At 51.9% G+C, this 21,702-nt stretch overlaps 1 long non-coding RNA gene across 2 annotated transcripts, besides 2 other annotated features; it reads right to left on the reverse strand.

Annotated features, from left to right (window-relative positions):
* Nucleotides 1-245: 245 nt before the first annotated feature.
* LOC105370659 (uncharacterized) lies at nucleotides 246-16,415 on the reverse strand. Of its 2 annotated transcripts, XR_001750879.2 has the most exons (4): nucleotides 16,015-16,415; nucleotides 14,479-14,601; nucleotides 13,021-13,125; nucleotides 246-550 (listed from the first exon to the last, which is right to left on the reverse strand). It is a non-coding gene; the product is annotated as an uncharacterized LOC105370659 (long non-coding RNA). The 2 variants fall into 2 exon arrangements; XR_944198.3 differs by lacking the exons at nucleotides 14,479-14,601; nucleotides 16,015-16,415 and adding an exon at nucleotides 14,035-14,134.
* Nucleotides 10,727-11,450: an enhancer, noted in NCBI's record as "H3K4me1 hESC enhancer chr14:99600505-99601228 (GRCh37/hg19 assembly coordinates)". NCBI's record gives its function as "activates a minimal SCP1, AML or CMV promoter by ChIP-STARR-seq in primed H9 embryonic stem cells {active_cell/tissue: H9 hESC(primed)}" and the evidence as "EXISTENCE:reporter gene assay evidence [ECO:0000049][PMID:30033119]".
* Nucleotides 18,918-19,826: an enhancer, noted in NCBI's record as "H3K27ac-H3K4me1 hESC enhancer chr14:99608696-99609604 (GRCh37/hg19 assembly coordinates)". NCBI's record gives its function as "activates a minimal SCP1, AML or CMV promoter by ChIP-STARR-seq in naive H9 embryonic stem cells {active_cell/tissue: H9 hESC(naive)}" and the evidence as "EXISTENCE:reporter gene assay evidence [ECO:0000049][PMID:30033119]".

A 21,702-nucleotide genomic window follows, 5' to 3' on the forward strand; every position in this document is an offset into this window, starting at 1 on the left:
ATGCGGCCAGCTCAGCTGTCAGGCAACTTTTATTCCTCTCAGACAGGAGCTGGCCAGTAGGTCCCCTGTGTCCACCCTGAAAGGAACAGGCAGGAAGCACCTCCCACTAAATTTGAGGTGGGGGCAATTGCAAAGACGTGGAACCAATCTAAGTGCCCATCAACCGACGAGTGGATAAAGAAAATGTGGTATACAGATACCATGGAATACTACTCAGCCATAAAAAAGAATGAAATCATGTCTTTTACAGCAACTTGGATGAGGTGGAGGAGGGATCTCTTCATGCCCCCCCAACATGCTAGCAAAAGGGCTGGGTACACTTCTTCCCAAGGAATCATCCCCCAAAATCTCTCCCTTTGTTCTCCCGGACCCATCTTTTTATATTCTCATCGTGAGTAGAGAGTTTTAAAAGCCCAGATCCGTTTCCCTTGAAACGGCATCTTGTTCCGGGGACTTCACTTAACAGGGCAGGATCTATTAGAACTTGATGCTTCTGTTTCAACTTCCAACCTCACAACCTGTCACAGCATTTTTCTTGGTGGGTGTGTTTCTTTGGAAAAAAAAAAAAAAAAGAGAAGTAGCAAATGAGAAGCTTATGACACCAACGGGACAGATGACGGCTGCAAATTTTCTGAAGTTAAATAAAACATGGTACTTTGGAGATATGGCGTTTGGAGATGTGGAACAACCAAAAAGCCCCTCCAATCCCCACCTTAGAGCTGTATCTTCCAATGAGCAGGTAGCAGAGCTGCAAGGAAGCCCAACTTCCAGCCCCTCCTCCCATTCAACAGGAGAGCCTCTAGGGCACCACAATGATTTACCTGAACATGGTCACTTTATGGGTGGGAGGCCGTAACTATTCTCATTTTACACATGAGAAAACTAAAATAGTAGGAATAGCTTTCCAGAGGTCACGCAACTATTAAGTGGAGGAACTGGGATTTGAACCTGTAGCTGTAGGGTCCCGAGCCCATGCACCTTCCCCTTCTCCACTTCTGCCTCTAAGAATAGGGCCAACAGGCCAAGAGCACCCTGAAATGAAACTCCTATTTCCTTGTAGATGCATCCAGGCCCCCACCAAGCCCATGGGGGACGCCTCCTGGGGAGCTGCCCACTGAGGAGAAGGAGCAGCAGAGGGCAGGCAGGACACAACTGAGCCTCATGCTGCTGCCTTTGTTCTCTTCCCTGCCCCAGACCCCACTGTGGGCATCTCTCATTTCATGGACCTACCCTCCCAGGGCCCTCGCTGGGCCAGCCCCTGGGCCAGGCCTTGGAGGTGCCGAGGAAGACAAACTGTGGTCTTGGCCTTAAGGAGCCACACTGGAGAGGCCATCCCGACAGGCGAGTGGGCCAGCGCTGCCCACAGGTGGGAAATGCTGCCCTGGGCACTGCCAGGCTGTAGGTTGTCAAAGAGATGGTCTGAGCCGCTGCAGCAGAAGATGGGAAGGGACCTTCCTTCCAGCAGGAGGAGCAGCACTTCCCATGCTCCCCACCAGAGTCCCTTCAATGGCAGAGGAAGGCAAGCCTCCAGAGTCTGGACATGCAGCCCAGAGTAGCCATGCCCCTGCAAGTGTGTCCAGCCCCGTTCTCTACCTGCACTTGTTTTATTATAGAAATAACGCTTTCAATCACCTCCCAGCGAGTAAGGTGGGTGCTTCTGGAAATGTGGCAGGGTCTGCTTCTCCAGGCTGAGAACACAGGAGCAGCCCGTAAGGGGTTTTAAACAGAGAAATGACATAGTCACATCACTCTTCCGAAAAGAGACATTTTGGCCACAGTGTGTCCAAGGAGAGACTGCGATGAGGAGCTGCTGCGAGGTTCCAGGTGGAGGCCCTGGGAATGCATCCAAGAGCCAGAGCCTGGGTGCAGCTGGGAGCCGTGGGGAAAGAGAGGAGTGGTAGCGCCTGAAAAATCCCTGAACTGGGACCCTGTCCCACGGCTCCCACTGCTGCCCCTCCACCGGAGGCTGTCATGATGGTGTGTCCTCTCCATCTGAGCAAGGGTCGTCGGTATTTCTCTGTGGGATTTTTCAATGTAGGTCTTTTCCCAACAAGATGCTAAGCTCCACTGTTTGGTCGGTTGGGAGATAAATTCATTTATTGGTTGGTTGGTTGGTTGGTTGGTTGGTTGGTTGGTTGGTTGGTTGCTCAGTTTGTTAGTAAGTTGGTCGGTAAGTTGATTAGTTGGTAGGTCATTGGTTGATTAATTCGTTGGTTTTCTTTGAATTGTGATCATGTACAACATGGTCAGTGAGTACCATGTATATAGTAGGTCTGTGATTGATATCTGCTGAGTATTCTCACCTCTATGTTATCTCGTTTTATTCTTACAACATCTAGGTGCTCCAGGAAGGGAAGGAAGTGATCATTTCTAAGTTACAGGTGAGAAAACCCTGACTCAGAGAGGGATGGCAACTTGCCCACAGTGCTGCAGCCAGGAAGGGGCACAGAGATCCCAGCCTTGGCCCCCTGATGCCCAGCCTAGTCTTCCTACTTCTGGGCATTAAATCCTGCTGTCCCACAGGACCTGGATAGGCTGTCCTCACGAGAAGTGGGTAAAGATTCACTACAAAAACAACATGACTCATGAATGGCTCTGGATCCCAGGATCCAAGGTTCAAGTAGGCTGGGCTGCCTTCAGAGCTATGGCACTCATGTTCTGCAGGCCAGGCTCTCCAAGACCCCTTGGGGAGAACTGCCTGGCAGGTGTGCAAACCATCAGCCCCCCAGAGCAAAAGAAAAGCAAATGGGCCATGGAAAATCCATGGAGGATGGCCAAACCTGCAGCCAAGCAGGATGACAGCACTGTCCACACTACACACAGAGCCTGCCAAAGAGTCACACAGGTGGCCTTGACAGGCTGGAGCAGAGGGTGGGCTGGGACAAAAACAGAAGGGAAAAGCAGGCCTCTCTATGGCCCCTCACACAGTAAGCCGAGCCCACCCCCAGGGCCCCATACACACCCACCATTCTTGAATAGCTCTGACTCTCCCAGAACTCTCTGGGTCATAGCTGGAGGTGCAGAGTGCTGTGGAGTTAACCGCACAGGCTGTGAATTCAGCCAGCCCAGCTGGGTTCAAATCCAGCAAGGCAGAGGCAGTCGTAGAACTCAGGAGTCTCTGGGCCCCAGCTCCCCTCCAGCCCACTCCATGGCTGCCAGTGTAGGCCCTGAGGAAGTCTAACTGTCATAGGGCTTTTATTTCTGATGAATGAGAGGAAACCCTTCATGGCAACATCAAGAAAAAAAAATGAGGGAAAATAGCATGTTTGTTCCCTATTACTAATCGTGCGGCCTTGGGGTTTTCTTAGTCTGTATTTTTGGTACACTGGTTTTACATAAGCTCATTACCCTCACACCACTCGACAAATTCAGTTAGCAGGTCATCACTCCGGCATCCTCAGAACATCCTGCTGTGCTGCGTGGCATGAATAGCACTGAAAGATCATCCATTTCAAATGAGTGTGAATCTGTTCATTGATTACCTTCCACCACGAGGAGCTCCCTACCACCACCTGGAAGAATGCCTCCCAGGTCTCACCTCCCACTTATGTGGAGCTGAGTGAGCTTCGAAGTCCACTGACTACTGTCCTCCCTCTGGCCCACAACGTAAAGGTGGTGAGCATCCCCAGCTAAGACCCTGCAGGAAAGGGGAGACCACCCCCACCCCACAGGAGAGCTCACTGGCTTCAGTGAGTTCCAGTCCCTGCTCTGCCACCAACCAATTGAATGGCCTTGAGCAAGTCACTCAACCCACACAATCTTCATGGGAATAACTGCAGAGTGCCTTTCGAAGCATCCTACAGGGAGAATGTCTGGAAATGGTTTAGCATAAAACCAGGCATAGGGGAATAATAATAGCCAACACTTACTGGCGCTCATCACAGGCTGGACACTTCTCTCTGTATTTTCCATTCGTTACCTTGGATAGTCCTCGCAAATGCTTCTGTGGTTGGCTCTAATGCTCCCATCCCTGCTTTGCAGATGAGGAAACTGAGACGCAAAGAACTAAGTACCTTGCCCAGGATTTTGCATCTAGTGAGTGACAGATCAGGGGTATTAACCCAGGTCATTTAGTGGTGAGTTCTGTGCTCTTGACATCGGTGCTACAGACCCAGAGAGAAAGAGAGACCCTATGCATAGCCAGTGTCATTACTGCTCCTAAGCTGGGTACTCACTGACAAGGCAGCTTTGCTGGACGGTCATGCTTTGGTATTCTAGGCCTGCTTCTGAGGAAGCAGTTCAGGCTCTCTCTCCTTGGGTAGACGAGGGATTCTCTCTCTGGCACACTGCCTTGGCAGTACAATCAACAAGTGAAAGGAGGAGAAACCTGAGCTTACAAAATCAACCTTAAGAACCCTGTTTCCTAATGTGGAAAGGATCAACAAAGACCTCCAGCGATGCGTCACTCTTGCTGCCGGTCGCTGCCAAGCCCAGCCACCCAGCTAGCGGGACGCACACACACTTGTGCTCACACTTGCTGTTGCAACTTGCCTTCCAGTCCCCCCACCCACCCCCATTACAGGATAGGAAATTCATCCTTCACTCCCTTCCTCCCAGTAAGCAAGATAGGAATGCCAGGGCTGCTCCAAGGGGGAGAGAATTTGCTCACTGGAGCCAGTTCCAAGATAAACAGAAACTTTGTCTCTGATAGCCTGTGAAACCAGACACGCTTTCTCTTCCACACGGTGTGTGTGTATGTGTGCATGCACACACATGTATGAATACACTGGTGAGTGTATTTAAGTGTACATCAGTGTGTGCGAGTGTGTCTGGCGTGTGTGTGCGCAGGTGCACGAACATAAGAATGTATTCGTGAAAGTATGTGTTTGGTGTACGTCAGTGTGTGCAAGTATGTCTGGTGTGTGGTACATCAGTGTGTGCGAGTGTGTCTGGTGTGTGTGCGCGCGGGTGCACGAACATAAGAATGTATTCGTGAAAATATGTGTTTGGTGTACATCAGTGTGTGCAAGTATGTCTGGTGTGTGGTACATCAGTGTGTGCGAGTGTGTCTGGTGCGCGAGTGTGTTGTGAGGGTGATTGGAGAGGGAGTCTGTGTTGAGCCAGGAAGCGCCACCAGGAACATCATTACTAAGAATCAAGAGAGCAGGTCTAAACCGAGAGTCCCTCAACAGTGAACCCTGGAGGAGACTCCCCCTCTCCTCCTCTTGCTCCTTTCCATCCATTCCCAAACCCCTTGGGCGGAAAGTCCCGAGCCCCTCCAAGCTGTTTTATGCTTAATGAAGCTGAATTTTAACGAGGAGAAATATCAGAGATTAAGTTATCTGCCTGCCAATGAAGACAGTGCCCTGGGTCCACTGGTCAAATTGGTCTAGCAAAGCCACTAGTGTCAATCAAATCACCAGAGGTCAGAGCTAGCAGCAGCTGAAAACCCATGCGGTCAAGCCAATCCATTTCACAGATGAGGACTTCTGGGGGAAGAGGAAAAGGCAAATCCAGCACAGGCTGGGGACCTACAGCCATGTGCCTTTACATCTGTCCTCCTGAGCCCTGTGCCAGCCTTTAAGACAAGTGTCCACAGTTCCTCCTTGCCCTGGAGGCTCAGGTGGGTGAAGGAGAGCCAGGGATCCAGGCTGCTGACTCCTCACCTAGTGCTCTTTGATCTCAGCTCCTACTGTCTCAGGTTTGGCTTTACTGACTATTTGCCGCACAGTGGGGTGTTCAGATTTGGAGCTTGAGTGGGAAGGGAGATGAGCGGATGTATTAGAGTTGGTGGATTTTGCTGTTGACTGGCTGTTCGCATTCAACCCAGACACCGAAGCCTGCTCGAGAGGTGCAGTCATTGTCCCTTCCTTCCTGTTCCTTCAGTCAAGCCCCTCCCATCTCTGGGCCTTGCTTCCCTGCCTGTGTGACCTCCTCTGAGGCCTCCTGAGACCATGAGGCCTGTCTAGGGAGTCGGGTCCCCTTGTGCAGCACTGGACCTGGCTCCCTGGAGCTCCATCCAGCCTCCTTCCCTGCTCCTCCAGCGTCTATTCCAAGCAGCATCCTCTCTAGGAGGCTGTCACTCACGGAGCTTGGGATGCTGCACAGAGATCAGAGATGGCTGCAGAGGAAGGAGCCAGCCAGAGCTGGAGCGAGAAACATAGGGCCTGCCCTGGGACAACCCCTGCTCGGCGCCTCCCTTCCTGGCCCTGCCTCTAGTCTGGCCTCCATGCTCTCTTGCCTCACTCGACTTCGTCCCCACTTTTCCGCTGACTTGCACATCTATCTGTGTCACTCTCCCTCCCTCTCTCTCGGAGACAGTCTCTATTCTTCCTGCTCCATCTTCCCTCTCTCCTCTTGCTGGCATCTCTCTGCTTCTGTCTCTGGCTTTTCTCCATTTGACTTTGTCTTTATTTCTCCAGGTCTCTCTTCCCTGTCAGGATCTCTCCCATCTGCTCCTTTCTTTGTCTCTACCATGATAGGACGAGAATCCAACAGCCTCGGGTTCAAATCCAGGTTCAACCCCTTGCAAGCTAGTTGATCCTTTTACCTCTCAGAGCCTCGGTCTCCTAATCTGTAAAATGGAGATAATAAAATCTATCTCACCGGAATCTTAGAAGGGTTCAATGAGGGAATAGCAGGAAAATAGTAAAGAAGCAGGACGCAGTGGTGGTTGAGAGCGGGAGACAACCATGGCAGAAGCGTGGGCCTGGGAACTGGAGGGGAAAGACGGCGCCTTCTCCTCCCCACGCCCTCTCCTTCCCCTGCTCCTCCTCCAGTCTCCTCCCCATCCTCTCGCCGTCTCTCTGTTCCTTATAACGGGGCTCAGTAGATGCTCAGCTGTCGCCCCCTTGCTCCTGTGCTCATTGTCCCTCTCCCCAAGAAAGAGCAGTGCCCAGCCGGGTGCAGTGGCTCACGTCTGTAATCCCAGCACTTTGGGAGGCCGAGGTGGGCGGATCACAAGGTCAGTAGTTCGAGACCAGCCTGGCCAACATAGTGAAACCCTATCTCTACTAAAAATACAAAAAAAAAAAGATTAGCTGGGCGTGGTGACAGGTGCCTATAGTGAAAGAAGAAAGAAAGAAAGAAAGAAAGAAAGAAAGAAAGAAAGAAAGAAAGAAAGAAAGAAAGAAAGAAAGAAAGAGAAAGAAAGAGCGAGAGAGAGAGAGGGAGGGAGGGAGGGAGGAAGGAAGGAAGGAAGGAAGGAAGGAAGGAAGGAAGGAAGGAAGGACGAAAGAAGTGCCTGAAGCCCATTCCACATAACAATAAGCAAAAGAAACCTCTAGAAATAACTCCTTGGCCACATGGAAGGAGATGCCCCTTTTTTTGTCTATAAAATTGGCAAAATTAAAGAAGTCATTGTTAACACCCAGCCTAGGAAAGAGAGCAGGGGATGTGAAGGTGCCCATGTGGCTGACGGGATGAAGGAGCAGAGATTGTGTTTGTATACATCTCTGTGTGCCTCCTGCAGGCACTTTTTTTTTTTTTTTTGACAGAGTCTCATTCTGTCACTCAGGTTAGAGTGCAGTGGTGTGATCTCAGCTCACTACAACCTCCATCTCCTGGTTTCAAGCGATTCTCCTGCCTCAGCCTCCTGAGTAGCTGGGATTACAGGCACCCGCCACCATGCCTGGCTAATTTCTGTATTTTTAGTAGAGATGGGGTTTCACCATGTTGGCTAGGCTGGTCTCAAACTCCTGACCTCAGGAGATCTGCCCGCCTCAGCCTCCCAAAGTGCTGGGATTACAGGTGTGAGCCACCATGCCCAGCCTCCTGCAGGCACATTTGAATACATGAGTGGGATATGGACAACAAATGAATAATAATATTTTATATAATGTACCATATAATTTATATATGATGCACATATACATTTAGACATATGATTTTTATATGTGTAACACGTAACGTGTATATATTTATATATACAATACTTAAGGTATGTAAAAAATTGTGACTTATCAGGTGGCTCACGCCTGTAATCCCAGCACTTTGAGAGGCTGAGGCAGGCAGATCACTGGAGGCCAAGAGTTTGAGACCAGCCTGACCAACATGGTAAAACCCTGTCTCTACTAAAAATACCAAAATTAGCTGGGCATGGTGGCATGCACCTATAGTCCCAGCTACTCTGGAGGCTGAGGCAAGAGAATTGCGTGAGCCCAGGAGATGGAGGTTGCAGTGAGATGAGATCATGTCACCACACTCCAGACTGGGTGACAGACAGATTCCATCTCAAAAAAAAAAAAAATTGCAAATGAGAACATTGTAGCAATCTAAAGTGCCTAGAAATGTCACTGACTACCTTGGGAAGTAGTGAGTTCCCCGTCATGGAAAGTGTGCAGGCAGAGGCTGGAGGGCTGCCCATGGGAGCTGCTGGGAAGGTGAGCCGTGTCCAGGAGAGGAGGTACGGAGAACTGGGCACTCCACGGCCCTTGGTTCTCAGTCTTGATGGCTGCTCAGCAGGAATGGGCTGGGGAGGGGGCATTGTCCCCTTGCAAGGTTGGGGGTCTGAGCCCAGGGAGGACAGAGAGGACCAGAGGAAGTGTCAGGAGCAGCCAGCCTTGACTTCTCGTTCTAAGTCTGGGGTTTCAGGCGGCCTGGGAATGCCTGGCCATGCAGGGATGCTCAGCCCTGCTGCAGCCTCCACACTGCGTGGGAGGAAACAGCTGACAGCAAGGCTTCAGATGGGAACCTGTGACTGTCCCCCTCTCTCACCACCACCGGCATCCCCGCACCAAACTCCTCAACAGGGCCAGCAGCGGGAGTGAGTTCGTTCCAAGGAATCGGCAGGCTGGGGGAGGGATTGGGTCCTCCAGAAATGAAACTGGCACCAGCATATGGCCACTCTGCTTGGTACCAGGGCATATGGGGAAAGATGCTAAGAAATGCTGGTTCCTCATGCTCTACGGTCTAACCCCGGGGGAGCTGGAGTCAGGAAGACCTGGCTCTGAATCCCAGCCCTATACTTACAGGCCTAAGTCACTTGTTCTGTTTGAGCCTTACTTTTCTCTATAAAATGGGATAATCCTAGGCCCTGTCTTCTAGGGTTGTGCCAGCTCAGACCTAACACCCTGCAAGTGCGCAGCAGATGTGAATTCCTTCCCCTTTTCCTGAGCAAGCTCGTGAGGGTGTGTGAAATCTGTGAAAACTTAGGGCCCTAAAAACGGACAAGAATAAGAAGGTTCAAATCCTAGACCCATCTCTGCCTTACAGAGTCCCTTCAATCAAGTCCCATTCCCTCTCTGGACCTTGTTTTCTGTTCGAGAAATGAAGGCCTTAGCCCTCCAAATTTGCCCCAGACCTGTGGCATCAGAATGAGCCTAGGTAAGAGCAAAACCTCTGGGCTTTGGAATCCGTATCTTCAAAGCTGCACAGGGAACTCAGAGGCAGATCAATATTTAAGAAGCATGACACAAGATGCTGCCTCATGTCATGACCTGTTTCTATCCTGATGGCCATCCTGAGAGGCAAAGGGGCACTGGGGTTGGTCCCGTTAAAGACGGGGAAACAGAGGCCCAGGGAGCTGTGTCACTCCGGGCGGTAGAGAATCTGCTGTGCTCTGCTCTCACCCACTTTTTCTTTTCTTCAGAAAAATAAAATCAAAGCATCATCATAAGGCCATGACTCAGGTACCCCTCTTTCCCCAGCCACAGGGCACGCTCCCAGCACCTCTCAGATTTGGGAGCTCTTGAGCCCCATCGCAGAAGTCTCCTGGTCACAGCTCTCGCTCCACTCTGGGTGTTTCTGAGAGAGACAGAGGGAGACAGGGTTCCCGCAACGTCTGAGTCTTCTCTCCCCTGCCTGCAGTCAGAAGTAAAAGTCCTTACTCATTTTTGTAGGAAAGAGCCAAGGCAGGGAGTCACAGTCGGGTGGGGGCAGGGGGTGGAATGAGGCCTGTTTCTTGGGGGCAGGGCAGCAGAGTTGTGAGTGCTGTGAAACCCCCTCTGTATTTTGCTTTCTCCCTCTGTTTCGTCGCAAAGCGGTTCCTTATTTGGGGAGCATCTGACTATGATCACGGCTCCATTTGCATGAGAAGTCTTGGGAGGGAAAAAGAACTTGTCACATTTCTCCCACAAGAGTATGTTCACACCAAGAACAAGGGAGATGCCAACAGTGGCCTTTGCCGTCACCAGAAGTGGCAGCTGAGTTGAAGAATTTCCTCCTCGAGGCACGTTCTCCCCCATGTCTCTACGAAGTGACTTCTCTCTAGGGAAAGTGGATCTCCCCGTCACCAGTGAGGCCTCCCCACCCACCCTCTGCACTCAGCGCTCCAGTGAAAAATATGTCCTGTCTCAGCTACAGGTTTATGAGGCCCCGTTTCAAAGATGACAGTCTCCTCTCCAGGCGAGAACGGGAGAGCCAGGGCCAACTGTTACAAAACAGGCTTCTTGGAAGGAAGCCGGTGGGGGTGGGGAGGGAGACCCACAGTCAGATAGGACGGCATTTCCCAGGAGCCCCACAAGACTGCACACGATTTCAATCAGGGGAGGACACTGGCTGTTAGCCACTCCGCCTCCCAGCCAGACCCATCCAGATGTCTGCAGAACATCCTGTCACCCGCAGGTGCCACGCCGCCTCCCTCCGGTAGTCTTCCCTTGCCCCGGGGCAGGAGGGCACACCTGAAACACACCCCAGCCCTCAGGCTCTCCAAGGCCAGGCATCACTGCTCAAACCACTCACACATGGGTGCAGGTTACAGCCCACAGTACAGCCAGCACAATGTTGGACATGAAGTGAGGCACAGGCCCTGAGCTACTCCAGGGCTGCTGTTCTCGGGGGGTGACATTTCCAGGTGTTACATAGGAAGTGGCATGGTGGCCCTGTTTGTACTCAGTGGAGGATGTATTTCCAGAGGGAACTCCCAAGCAGGAAATCAAATAAATGCTCCTTGTAGTCAAAGGGAGGACACAGACGCCATGGCCCTGAGCACAGTAGAAAGAGCCAAGAGGCAGGGAGCTGCAGCAGAGTTCAGGCCCTGCCTCCTGGGTTCTGAAATACTGCTGTGTGCAAAGGCAGAAGCAGAGAGGACTCAGTATGGAGGGCCTGGGGTTGCAAGGCTGGGGACCTGGGGGAGATCAAGGCCAAAGCCACGGCAGCTGATCAGCATAGGCCCAGAGGAGTTTCTGCAGGCCTCACCGGCTCCTCAGTGGGACAGACAAGTACCCTTGTTCAAGCCCCCTCAACCTCCTTTCGAGCCTGTCATGCCTGAAAGACATTCTTGTTCTAGGGTGCGGGTTCCATCATGTTCCACCCCAGGACTGCTAAATCTCCAGGTTGAGAGCTGGTCCCCAGGATAATATTACCATCCACAGATATCCGGACCCAGTGGATCCCACTGGACTCCAGTCATGCCTCACAGCACATTGGGCAAAGTGGAGGGGCAGGCCCCTTTAGAGAGTTCCAGCTGAGCAGCCTCCACAGGGCACCTCAGCTTCTGCCATTCTCCTTGGACGCTGCTGCTGGCAGAACGTCCTCCCTCTGCACCTGGAGTGGGGAATATGGGCCACATCTTTTCTCTGCCTCACCATCTGACCTTGGCGGTCCCCTTCCCATTTTGGGGTCACACTGTCTTCAGCTGATCAAGAGCAGCCTGGCCGAATGATGTCTGAGGCTCTTTTCTGCCTGTTTCCTCCTGAAGTGGTTCCTTTGAATCTGAAGTTAAAAATGGCAAGATTCTGCCCTCTGAATTTTGTTCTCAGAAGGGTCAGGTTTAAAACCTGGGCTCAGAGCAAAGCCTAGGAATTCAGCAAGTTCAGGTCAGCATGGATTCAGTCCTTTATCATCAAGCAAAGGCACGGCCCCGACCTCCCGCAAAGCGTCTCTGTCACTTTCACCGCCGTACTGGAATGGCCCCACTTTTGTGCTCTCTTGTGATCTTCTCTTTCCTCCCTGCCTGCCCCTCACTCTGCTCTGCCTCCTTTCCTCCAACAGCATCATTCTGCAGGGCCAAGGCAGCGCTCCCTCCCATTTGGACATGAGCTGGGCCTTAAAGGTTGGAGAGAATGTCAGCGGGGCTGAGTGCAGCCTGGAGCTCTTAGATCGGGGCTGCAGGCAGCCTCAGAAGAAACTAGCGTCTCTGTGTGAGATTGTGCCCATACCCACTTTCCTGGAGTGGCTTTAGTCAATGTCTTAAAGTGTTCTGTGACCCAGAAAAGGCTCCAAACCCAAGCAATACCAGGAGAACGCTGGAGGTGTGTGATCCACACCTCACACTCTTTACGGAGGACCTGCTGTGGGCCAGGAACCGTGCCGGGTGCTGCACAGACCGTGGTGATTAAAGACTGTCTTCAGCCGGGCACAGTGGCTAACACCTATAATCCCAGCACTTTGGGAGGCCAAGGTGGGCGGATCAGGAGGTCAGAGTTTGAGACCAACCTGGCCAACATAGTGAAACCCCATCTCTATAAAAATACAAAACTTAGCCAGGCATGGTGGCATGTGCCTGTAGTCCCAGCTACTCAGGAGGCTGAAGCAGGAGAATCACTTGAATCCAGGAGGCAGAGGTTGCAGTGAGCCAAGATCGCACCACTGCACTCCAGCCAGGGCAACAGAGCAAGACTCCTTCTCAAAACAAAACAAAACAAACAAACAAAGATGTCCTCATGGTGCTTGCAGTCTCTTGGGAAGTGGGGAGTATAGGTCTCAGGCACAGAAATGCAGGCAATGTACATGGCAGCTCTGCAGGCGAGTGGTCCCTGGATGGGCCCAGGAGGTGGCTGGCAGCCCACTGTGGTGCAGGTAGGGGATTGGGGTCCTGAAGATGGAGAAGCAACAGGCTGCAGCCAAATCCAAGTCCAGAGGGGCCGGCTGGGAGCCTGGCCTGCAGAGGGTTTGGGGTCAGGAAAGAGTGAGCAGGAGGCCAATGGGAAGGCCACGCAAGTAACCCCTGTCAGGGGAGGGTTGAGCGGGATGAGCGACTCCATTTGACAGATGAGAACACTGAGACATGGAGGGATTAGGCAGCTGGAGAATGTCCAGTAGGATCCTGCTGTTGCTTCACAAGAGCCCCCATCTTCCAGGCAACATAATGGGGGCCAGTGGGAAACCCCAGGCATTGAATGAAAGAAACTCATCACCTACCATCAAAACCTGCTCCCTCCTCCAGAGGAATGTTGGTCTGTGAGCTCCTCAGAGGTAAAGCTTGGTTAGCATGTGCCAGGCATGCAATAGAAGGTGGGTAGTTACCTAGATGAAGAAATACACTGTCGGAAGGTGGGGAGGTGACTGTGGCCCCATCAATGACATGGCAGGACCCCTCCTCACTTAGGGGCCGAAGGGTGACCGAATCGCCCAGGGAACAGGTTCTGTATCTCACACCAAACCCTGCCCCCAACCACAGGATGGAAAATCAATACGGAGTCAGAAAAATTAATAGTCAATGGGTGGAGAGTTAAAAACCGCAGCTGAGCTCGTGTTGCTGTTTCCAATGGACAGAGCCCGGAAGCACCGCTTTTTTAGTTCAGAAAATATGGCCCCCATCAGTCGCTGGACAGTAATTACCCATTAGAGCAACAAAATGCCAATGTGCTGCTCTCCCCACGTGAAACGAGCAAACTTTTATGATTTGGAGGGAGGAATAAATTGCTTTAAGTATGACATGTACTAACAGCTGTGCTCTGCCAGAGTGCCCTTAAGAACCCATTTTCAATAAACACCTATAGGGTATTAGAATGGGCTCTGTGCAGAAAGGCCTTCTCCCAGGGATTAAACCCAGCGGTCTGTGTGCAGCAAAGCCCCCTCTCTATCCTGACTCCTTCCCGCCCTTTCCGGCCCTCCCCCAGCCAACAAAGCCAGGTCTCAGGAGCAAATTTCCCCTCCTTCATTTCTCCACCTCCACCCCTTCTTCCCAGCCCACAGCCACATCACCGTCTTTCCTCCTGGGCTACAGCAGCAGGGTCCTCAGGCCTCTCTGCCTCTATGCTCACCCCGTCTGCTACAGCCTCCTCCTCCTGGCTACCAGAATGAACTTCCCCAAATGCAAATCCAGTCGCAGCACTCCTGGCTCAAAACCCACCAATGCCTCCTTAACGCCTTCAAGATCAAGTCCGAGGCATTTTGCCCAAGGCTGAACTTGCTACTTCAGCAGCCACCCACCAGCTCTCAAATCTGTGGTTCCAGCCCCAGTTCCTGCTGCCTCTCGTTGGAGCTTCAGACAATCTACTGCTTCTCAGGCTTCTCCACTAGGTGGTCCACAGATGCTCCAACTCATCATGGCCAGGATCAAACTTGTCACCGCAGCCCCACCCATCCCAAACTATCCCCTTCTGCTGTCTCAGGAAATTGCTCCACCTTCCAGTCAGCCAGAAGCCACCTCCGTGTGGGCCATCTGGGCCCCCCTTTCTGAGCACTTCCTACATCATACCTATCTCTTTGGGCTCTCTCATTTCTCCCACCCCAACAACTCCTCAAATGATTTTCCTGCCCCTAATTTACCCACTTCTCCCCCACCCGACCTGCCACCCCAGGGCAGTGCCAGCTGCTGTTACAAATAAAAACCACAATTTCAGAGGTTTAACACAATAGAACTTCGTTTCTCACTTATGCAACCATTCAGTGCAAGGGCTCCTTGTTGCGACAGGTGCTTTTCCTGCAGGTAGTGAAGGAGAGCCTCAAGTTCCTTTCATCCTGTGGCTTTGCCAGTCCCTGGGACCTCAGACTTCTCTGCTTGCAGATAGTGGAAGAGAAAAGAGTAATGAAGATTTGGTTCTTAAGAGTCCCTGCCTTCTCCTTAACATCCCATTGGTAAGAGCTAGTCATGTGGCTACACCGAACATAGAGGGTTCTGGGAAATGTAGTTCTTCCGTGAATAGCCTCATTTCAGCCCCGTCCAGGCACAGAGGGAGGAGGAGCCTCTTGTGCATAATGAAGTTAGCCCAGCACCCTTGGAGCATGCATAAGGTGCTCTCTGAGCAGGTGTGGTCACCTCCTGGCCTCAGCCCTGCCCGCACATTTGTTCTGTGCTCTCACAGGCTGAACACCTTGAAGGTCTCATGCACTGGGCCCTCTCCCCACCTTTGCACCAGCCACTCCCTCTTCCCCACGAGCTGTAACCACGCTGCCTTATTCACTTCACAGACCCTTTGTGGTCCTTCAAGGCTCAGGGCAGTGCCCTCTTCCAGGAACCTTTTCCCGACCTCCCTCTCACCCAGGCAGCCAAGAGCATCCACAGCCTGCTACTCTACCCCTCCTGTTAATCTGCAAGCATCCAGCTCCCCAAGACTGAGAGCTTCTGGGATGGCAGGGCCTGAACACAGATTCAGTCGGGGAGCTAGTTGAGTCTGGAGTGAGGTGCCCAAGACCTCAAGTGCTGAATGAGCGGCTTAGGACAGACAGAGCCTCAGGGAGCCCCTGGAGGGAACATGAAGATGCCCAGAAGGAACAAGCTTTGGTTGAGGAGACAGATGATGAAACAGCCCAAAGGTTATACAAAATAATACTGGCCCAAAAAAGAAGAGGGGGTCCATGTGCAGGGGACAGGGCCATGGGTGACTGGGGCTGGGGAGGCACCAATGGTCCCTGCTAAGCTGTTCCAAGGGTCGGACTGGATGTGAAATGCACCAGGAAAACCACACAAGGTTGAGAATGTCCTCCACCCAAATACCAGCTGTGTGGGGCCTGGACGGAAGTGTTAACTGACAGTGGTGAGTGCACCAGTGAACCTTCAGATAGCACACGCGGCCCCTCTGAGCACGTCTTAGACCTGGAGGAGGCTGGTGTCCAGGGCACGGCGCTACACTTTGTGGCACTCCTGTCATGGCCAGGCTGTGGACTGGACATTTTCATGCCTTGCTTCGCTGGACTCTGCCCAAAAGCCTGGAGGAGGGGACCCTCACCACCTCCCCATTGCAGGTGAGAAAGCACAAGCACAGGGGGACAGTGGGGTCAGTCCAGTCCCACAAACCCTGTGCAGCTCTAATGTTCCGGGCGGAGAGCACAGGAGGACCCGGGACAGGCAGCCCTTGCCCTGAGCCATGACCACAGGGATGAGCACAGCTGGGCCCCTAGGCCCCTCACCCACACCAGCCCTTCCGCACTCCCCAGCAGGGCCTCCAGCTGGTGCAGGCCCATCCTCACCCTGGAGCTGTGTCTCCCCCTGACCTCCACAGATGTGGGTTGCATCCTGGGCTGTGGAGTGGAGACACCACACGCAGGTGGCCTAGGGAGCATCCTGAAGGCCTAGGGGTACAGGAGATGAACATTACCTAAGAGTTTGAAAGATAAGCAGGATGAACTGAGTAGAGATAGACAGGAAAGGTGATTCAGACGGAAGGATCCAAATGAACAGAATGCGGCCAAGGGCAGGACATGGACATGGTGAGGGTGCAAAGAGCCAGCCCAGAGCACCATGGGGAGGCTGGGTCCGGGGACAATGGAGGCACCCTCAGGCTTCCCCAGAGATGAGCTTTGACTAGAGCAGCAACGTGGTCACAGTCAAGTTTGTAAAAAGAAGACAAAGAAGTTGGGGTGCAGCTGGCCTTCAGAGAGCCCAGCCTGCCTGGCGCCCATCAATTCCCAACCCCATCCCACCAGGAAGTGAGCTTGGGCTTGCTTGGAACAATCCCAAATCAATAATACATCTTAATCAAATAGTAGCAAATCTTTAATTGAAACCTATCACAGAATTGCATTTACCTCCCTTCAGAGTTTTGCTTTTGATTAGGCAGGCAGAAAATGGCATAATTTCCCACCCAGGGACTTGGGGTCCTACCCAGGCCCCACCTCTCTGCTCCATGGCTGCAGAAGATAAGCCCTGTTGGGAGGACTGTGGGCTCTCAGACTGGGCTGGGGTCCAGGGCTGGGCTGTGGTGTGGGTTTCCCTGTGTGGTCCTCAGAGAGTGGAATGCACTTGGGGGTCACCTCCTAAGGTGGGGGAGAGGTTCCATGAGGCGGCCTGGCTAGGATGGCCACCTGGAGGTAGGGACTGTTCTCACCTGAGCTTCTCCAGGGCTGAAGCTGGGTGTGACCATCTCTGCAGCCCCAGCACCCGCTCAAGGGCAGTGTGAAGGCTGGGTGGATGCATGGACATCTGCAGGGGTGGGACGTGCCAGGAGGAGCCTGTGAGTGTCTGGAAGGTGGGGACTGGGAACCCTGACAGAGGGCCAGCAATTGGACCCAGCCTCTGGCTCTTGAGGCCACCATTCAGTTACAACCCTGCCAAATCTTCCTCCTGCTCTGCCACCCATGTTCCAGCCTCAAGCTGTGGGGCACGGCTCCTTAACCATCTGTCCACGTAGGCTGGACCTGCATCAGACCAGTCAGATCCACTAAGCGAGATCTACTCTTACATCCAAGATCATTGGGGGCTGGGCACGGTGGCTCACGCCTGTAATCCCAGCACTTTGGGAGGCTGAGACAGGCAGATCACCTGAGGTCAGGAGTTCGAGACCAGCCTGGCCAACATGGCGAAACCCCGTCTCTACTAAAAATACAAAAATTAGCCAGGCGTGGTGGCGCGTGCCTGTAATCCCAGCTACTCGGGAGGCTGAGGCAGGAGAATCACTTGAATCCGAGAGGCAGAGGTTGCAGTGAGCCGAGATGGCGCCACTGCACTCCAGCCTGGGCAGACTCTGTCTCAAAAAAAAAAAAAAAAAAAAAATCTTTGGGACCAAGCATTTCTGTGGCCCTGGCTCTGGCACAGTGACCCACTCCAAGAGAACTGAGCCCCTGGCCCTTCCTAGCCTCAGTCCTGGGCTCCTGCACATCACCACGCCTCACCCCACCAGGTAGCCTCCTAGTGTGTATAACCACATCATGCCACTTCACGGAAAGAGGTCTCACCAACCGACCAGTCATTCTACCTCCATCTTGCTCACCTGGGTGGCCCCTCCAGACCTCTGAATCTTGCCTCTGACCATCAGTGAGTCCGTGTGGAGCTTTGGAGTAAACGGTATGACTTAACACCCCGTCTACGTAGCACTCTTTCCCCACCCCCTCTCAGGGTTCCTTGGAGGAGTCTTCCATTCCACTTGCTACTGGTAGGACAGTCATTGACCCGTCTTCCCCATTCATCCCAGGGCTAGGCTGCCAATCAGAACATCCCAACACCTGGCCACAGCAGTTTGTTCGGGGATAGGTAAATGAGCCAGGTAAGGCCAAGCAGAGGCTTCTGCCAAGGTTGCTAAGCTTAGAGACTATTGCTGAGAGATGCCAGCTCCATCCTACATGGGATGAAGCCAAAAAGAGGCCAGTAGAACTGCAAGATGTGGGTGGGGGTGGAGCTTGACAGCATTGCTTAAAGCCCTGGATCCAGCCGTACCTGAAGGCTCACCAGAAACAATAAATTCTCTTTTTGTTCAAACCCGTTGGAGTTGGGTTCTGTGACTGTCATCAAAGAACTCCTAGCTAATATGACATGGAGGGGTTTTTAACCCGGTCTTAATGAAAATGTCACAAAGATATGTGAGCATCATAGTGCCCAAATGCTGGGCTAGGAATCAATGCATATACAGTGAACTCCACAGTCACTGCGTCCCAGCCCTACTGGGGATGAGGACCCCTATATAGTGTCAAAACATCTGTAAACCAAAAGATACCTGAGACAGGTCTTAATCAATTTAGAAAGTTTATTTTGCCAAGGTTCAGGATGTACCCTTGACACAGCCTCAGGAGGTCCTGACATGTGGCCAAGGTGGTCAGGGCACAGCTTGGTTTTGTATATTTTAGGGAGACACAAGACATCAATATATGTAAAATGTACATTGTTTCAGTCTGGAAAGGCGGGACAACTCGAAGTGGAAAGGAGGCTTCCAGGTTATATGTAAATAAGAGACAAATGGTTGCATTCTGTTGAGTTTCTGATTAGGCTTTCGCTGAATGCACAGTTTACAGGAATAGTCACCTATACCTTAGTCTGGCTTAGTAAAACAATAGGGCAAAGGAAGCAATCAGATATGCGTTTGTCTCCTGGGAGCAGAGGGAGGGTGACTTTGAGTTCTGCCTTTCCTTCATCCACAAAGAATTTCCTTGTGGGCAAATTGCAAGGGAGGTATCTTATTTTGGAATAGAATGGGAGGCAGGTTTACCCTATGCAGTTTCAAGCTTCACTTTTCCCTTTGGCTTAGTAATTTCGGGGAGATTTATTTTCCTTTCACACATCTCACAAAGCCCCCACAAAAAAAAATACCTGTATCTTTGGTATCCCTTGAATGAGAAAACACACAAAGAAATAAAATCAAATTTTGTTTGTTTGGGGTTTTTTTGAGACAAGGTCTCACTTCAGTGGCACAATCCAGGCTCACTGCAACCTCCGCCTCCTGGGTTCAGGCGATACTCTTGCCCCAGCCTCCCGAGTAGCTGGGATTACAGGCGCATGCCACCATGCCCGGCTAATTTTTGTATGTTTAGTAGAGACAGGGTTTCGCCATGTTGGCCAGGCTGATCTCAAACTCCTGGCTTCAAGTGATCTGTCCGCCTTGGCCTGCCAAAGTGCTGGGATTACAGACGTGAGCTCCCGCGCCGGGCCCAGAAAGCAGTAAACTTTTAAAATGAATTTGTGTTTTCTTCTAAATCAACAGTACAAACATCAGGAAAAAAAATAGTCATTCAAGCACACGTGAGAATGTTAATTATCCATCCTGAGAAAGGCTTGGTGGCACATAGATGGATATAAGGGGTTGCTCACCAGCTCGCTGCTATCTCTCAAGAAGCTGGACGGAGCCTGCATTTCCCAGCTCCTCAGGGGAGAGGTTGCCAATCTCAAGCCCAGGTCCCTGCACTGGGAAACTGGGGGGCACCTTCCACCAGTGTGGCCAGGTGACTCCCTCTGCTCTGATCCTGCCTAATTCTCTTTTCTCAGCCCCTCTTCCCCTCCTCCCAGAGGCCCATGCTGCCCTTGGGCCCTTGGGTCTGGCTGGCCCAGCTAATACCATTTTCAGGGATGTTATCTCTGACACTGTTTAAGGAGTCTGACACTGACGTTTGCTCAAGGCACATGTTCAGGAGTCCCGTCTGCCACTGGCTTCTGGAGTGGCTTCCTTTCTTTTCCCCCAGCATGCCCTGTGCCTGTGCTTCTCAACATCTGCATGTGTCAGACCACCTGCAGGGATTGCTGAAATACAGATTCCTGGGCTTTGTCCCAGCCTTTCTGTAGGTCTGGGTAGAGCCCAACAGTTTGCATTACCTTTTTTTTTTTTTTTTTGAGATGGAGTCTCCTCTGTCGCCCAGGCTGGAGTGCAGTGGTGGGATCCCAGCTCACTGCCACCTCTGCCTCCCGGGTTCAAGCGATCCTCCTGCCTTACCCTCCTGAGTAGCTGGGATTACAGGCACCTGCCATGCCACAGGCACCTGCCACCATGCCCTGCTAGTTTTTGTATTTTTAGTAGAGACAGGGCTTCACCATGTTGGCCATGGTTGGCCAGGCTAGTCTCGAACTCCTGACCTCGGGTGATCTGCCTACCTTGGCCTCCCAAAGTGCTGGGATTATAGGCATGAGCCACCGTGCCTAGCCAAAAATTTGCATCTCTAACAAGCTTCAAGCTGTGGCCTTGGCCAGGGGATCAGGCATTCAGACTCACTAACCTGAATGTTCCTGCCATCCCAAGTCTTGTGCCCTTGGGGCCCTACTGACTGTGGGGATAGATATAGAGGCACTTGAGATAAGGAAGTCACTTCCTGGTTGGAATCCAAATAGGACCTGGGTCCCCTGTGGCACAGCAGCTTCCTGCGACACTTCCTGTGTCACGTGATTAACCTTCCCCAGGGAAGAGCTTGATTACTTCCCACCTGATACTGCCACCAGAGCCAGCCAGGCTCTCCAGGGTCTCCTCTCCCCACCCCCAGGCCTCATCGCCACACCTCCATTCCTACCAACTTGTTTAGCCAGGACAAACCACTTTCAATGTTTCTATAATGCTGGGCTACTGAAGACTAAACCCTGACCTTTTATCTCTCTTGCCTAAATTCCTATTTAAGGGGCCTGAGGCATTGCACTCTACCAACCATAAAATCTCATCAGATGGGTTTTATTTAACCCTGTACAATGTGGCTTACTTTCCAACCTGACTCTGGCATCATATCACATGACGGATAAAGAAGGAAATCCAAACACTTTGCCCCAAAATATGACTCTTTGCCATGTTTCGAAATGCTCCTGCAAAGCCATTTTTTGTGGGGGAAGATTTGCATCTGTAAAGAATTTCTATTAACATAACTAGATCTTTCCCCTTCCAGACCCTCCCAATACTGAAGAGACTGACTGAGAATCTAGCACCTTTTAAAGATCTAAATAGGGAACATTTGCCATCTAAGGGCACCCACCTATTAGACTTCCTCTACATAACAAGAACCTTGGTTTCCATAGCCCCTTATCTTAATCTAGACACTCCTTTCTACTGATTCCAGCTCTTTAGATAATAACTTAACACTTTTTTTTTTTTTTGAGACAGAGTCTCACTCTGTCACCCAGGCTGGCGTGCAATAGCGAAATCCCCGCTCACTGCAACCTCCGCCTCCCGGGTTCAAGAGATTCTCCTGCCTCAGCCTCCCAAGCAGCGGGGATTACAGGCACCCCCCCCACCACGCTCAGCTAAGTTTTTTTGTATTTTTAAAAGAGACGGGGTTTCACCAGGTTACCCAGCCTGGTCTCAAACCCCTGACCTCAGGTGATCCACCTGCCTTGGCCTCCCAAAGTGCCAGGATTACAGGCGTGAGCCAATTGCCAATCAGACAGAACCAATGTATACCTCACAGGTATTGGATGATGTCTTATGCCTTCCTAAAATGTGTAAAACCAACCAACTTGGGCACATGTTCTCAGGACCTCTT

Source organism: Homo sapiens, chromosome 14 (genome assembly GCF_000001405.40).
Source record: "Homo sapiens chromosome 14, GRCh38.p14 Primary Assembly".
Lineage (NCBI taxonomy): Eukaryota > Metazoa > Chordata > Mammalia > Primates > Hominidae > Homo > Homo sapiens.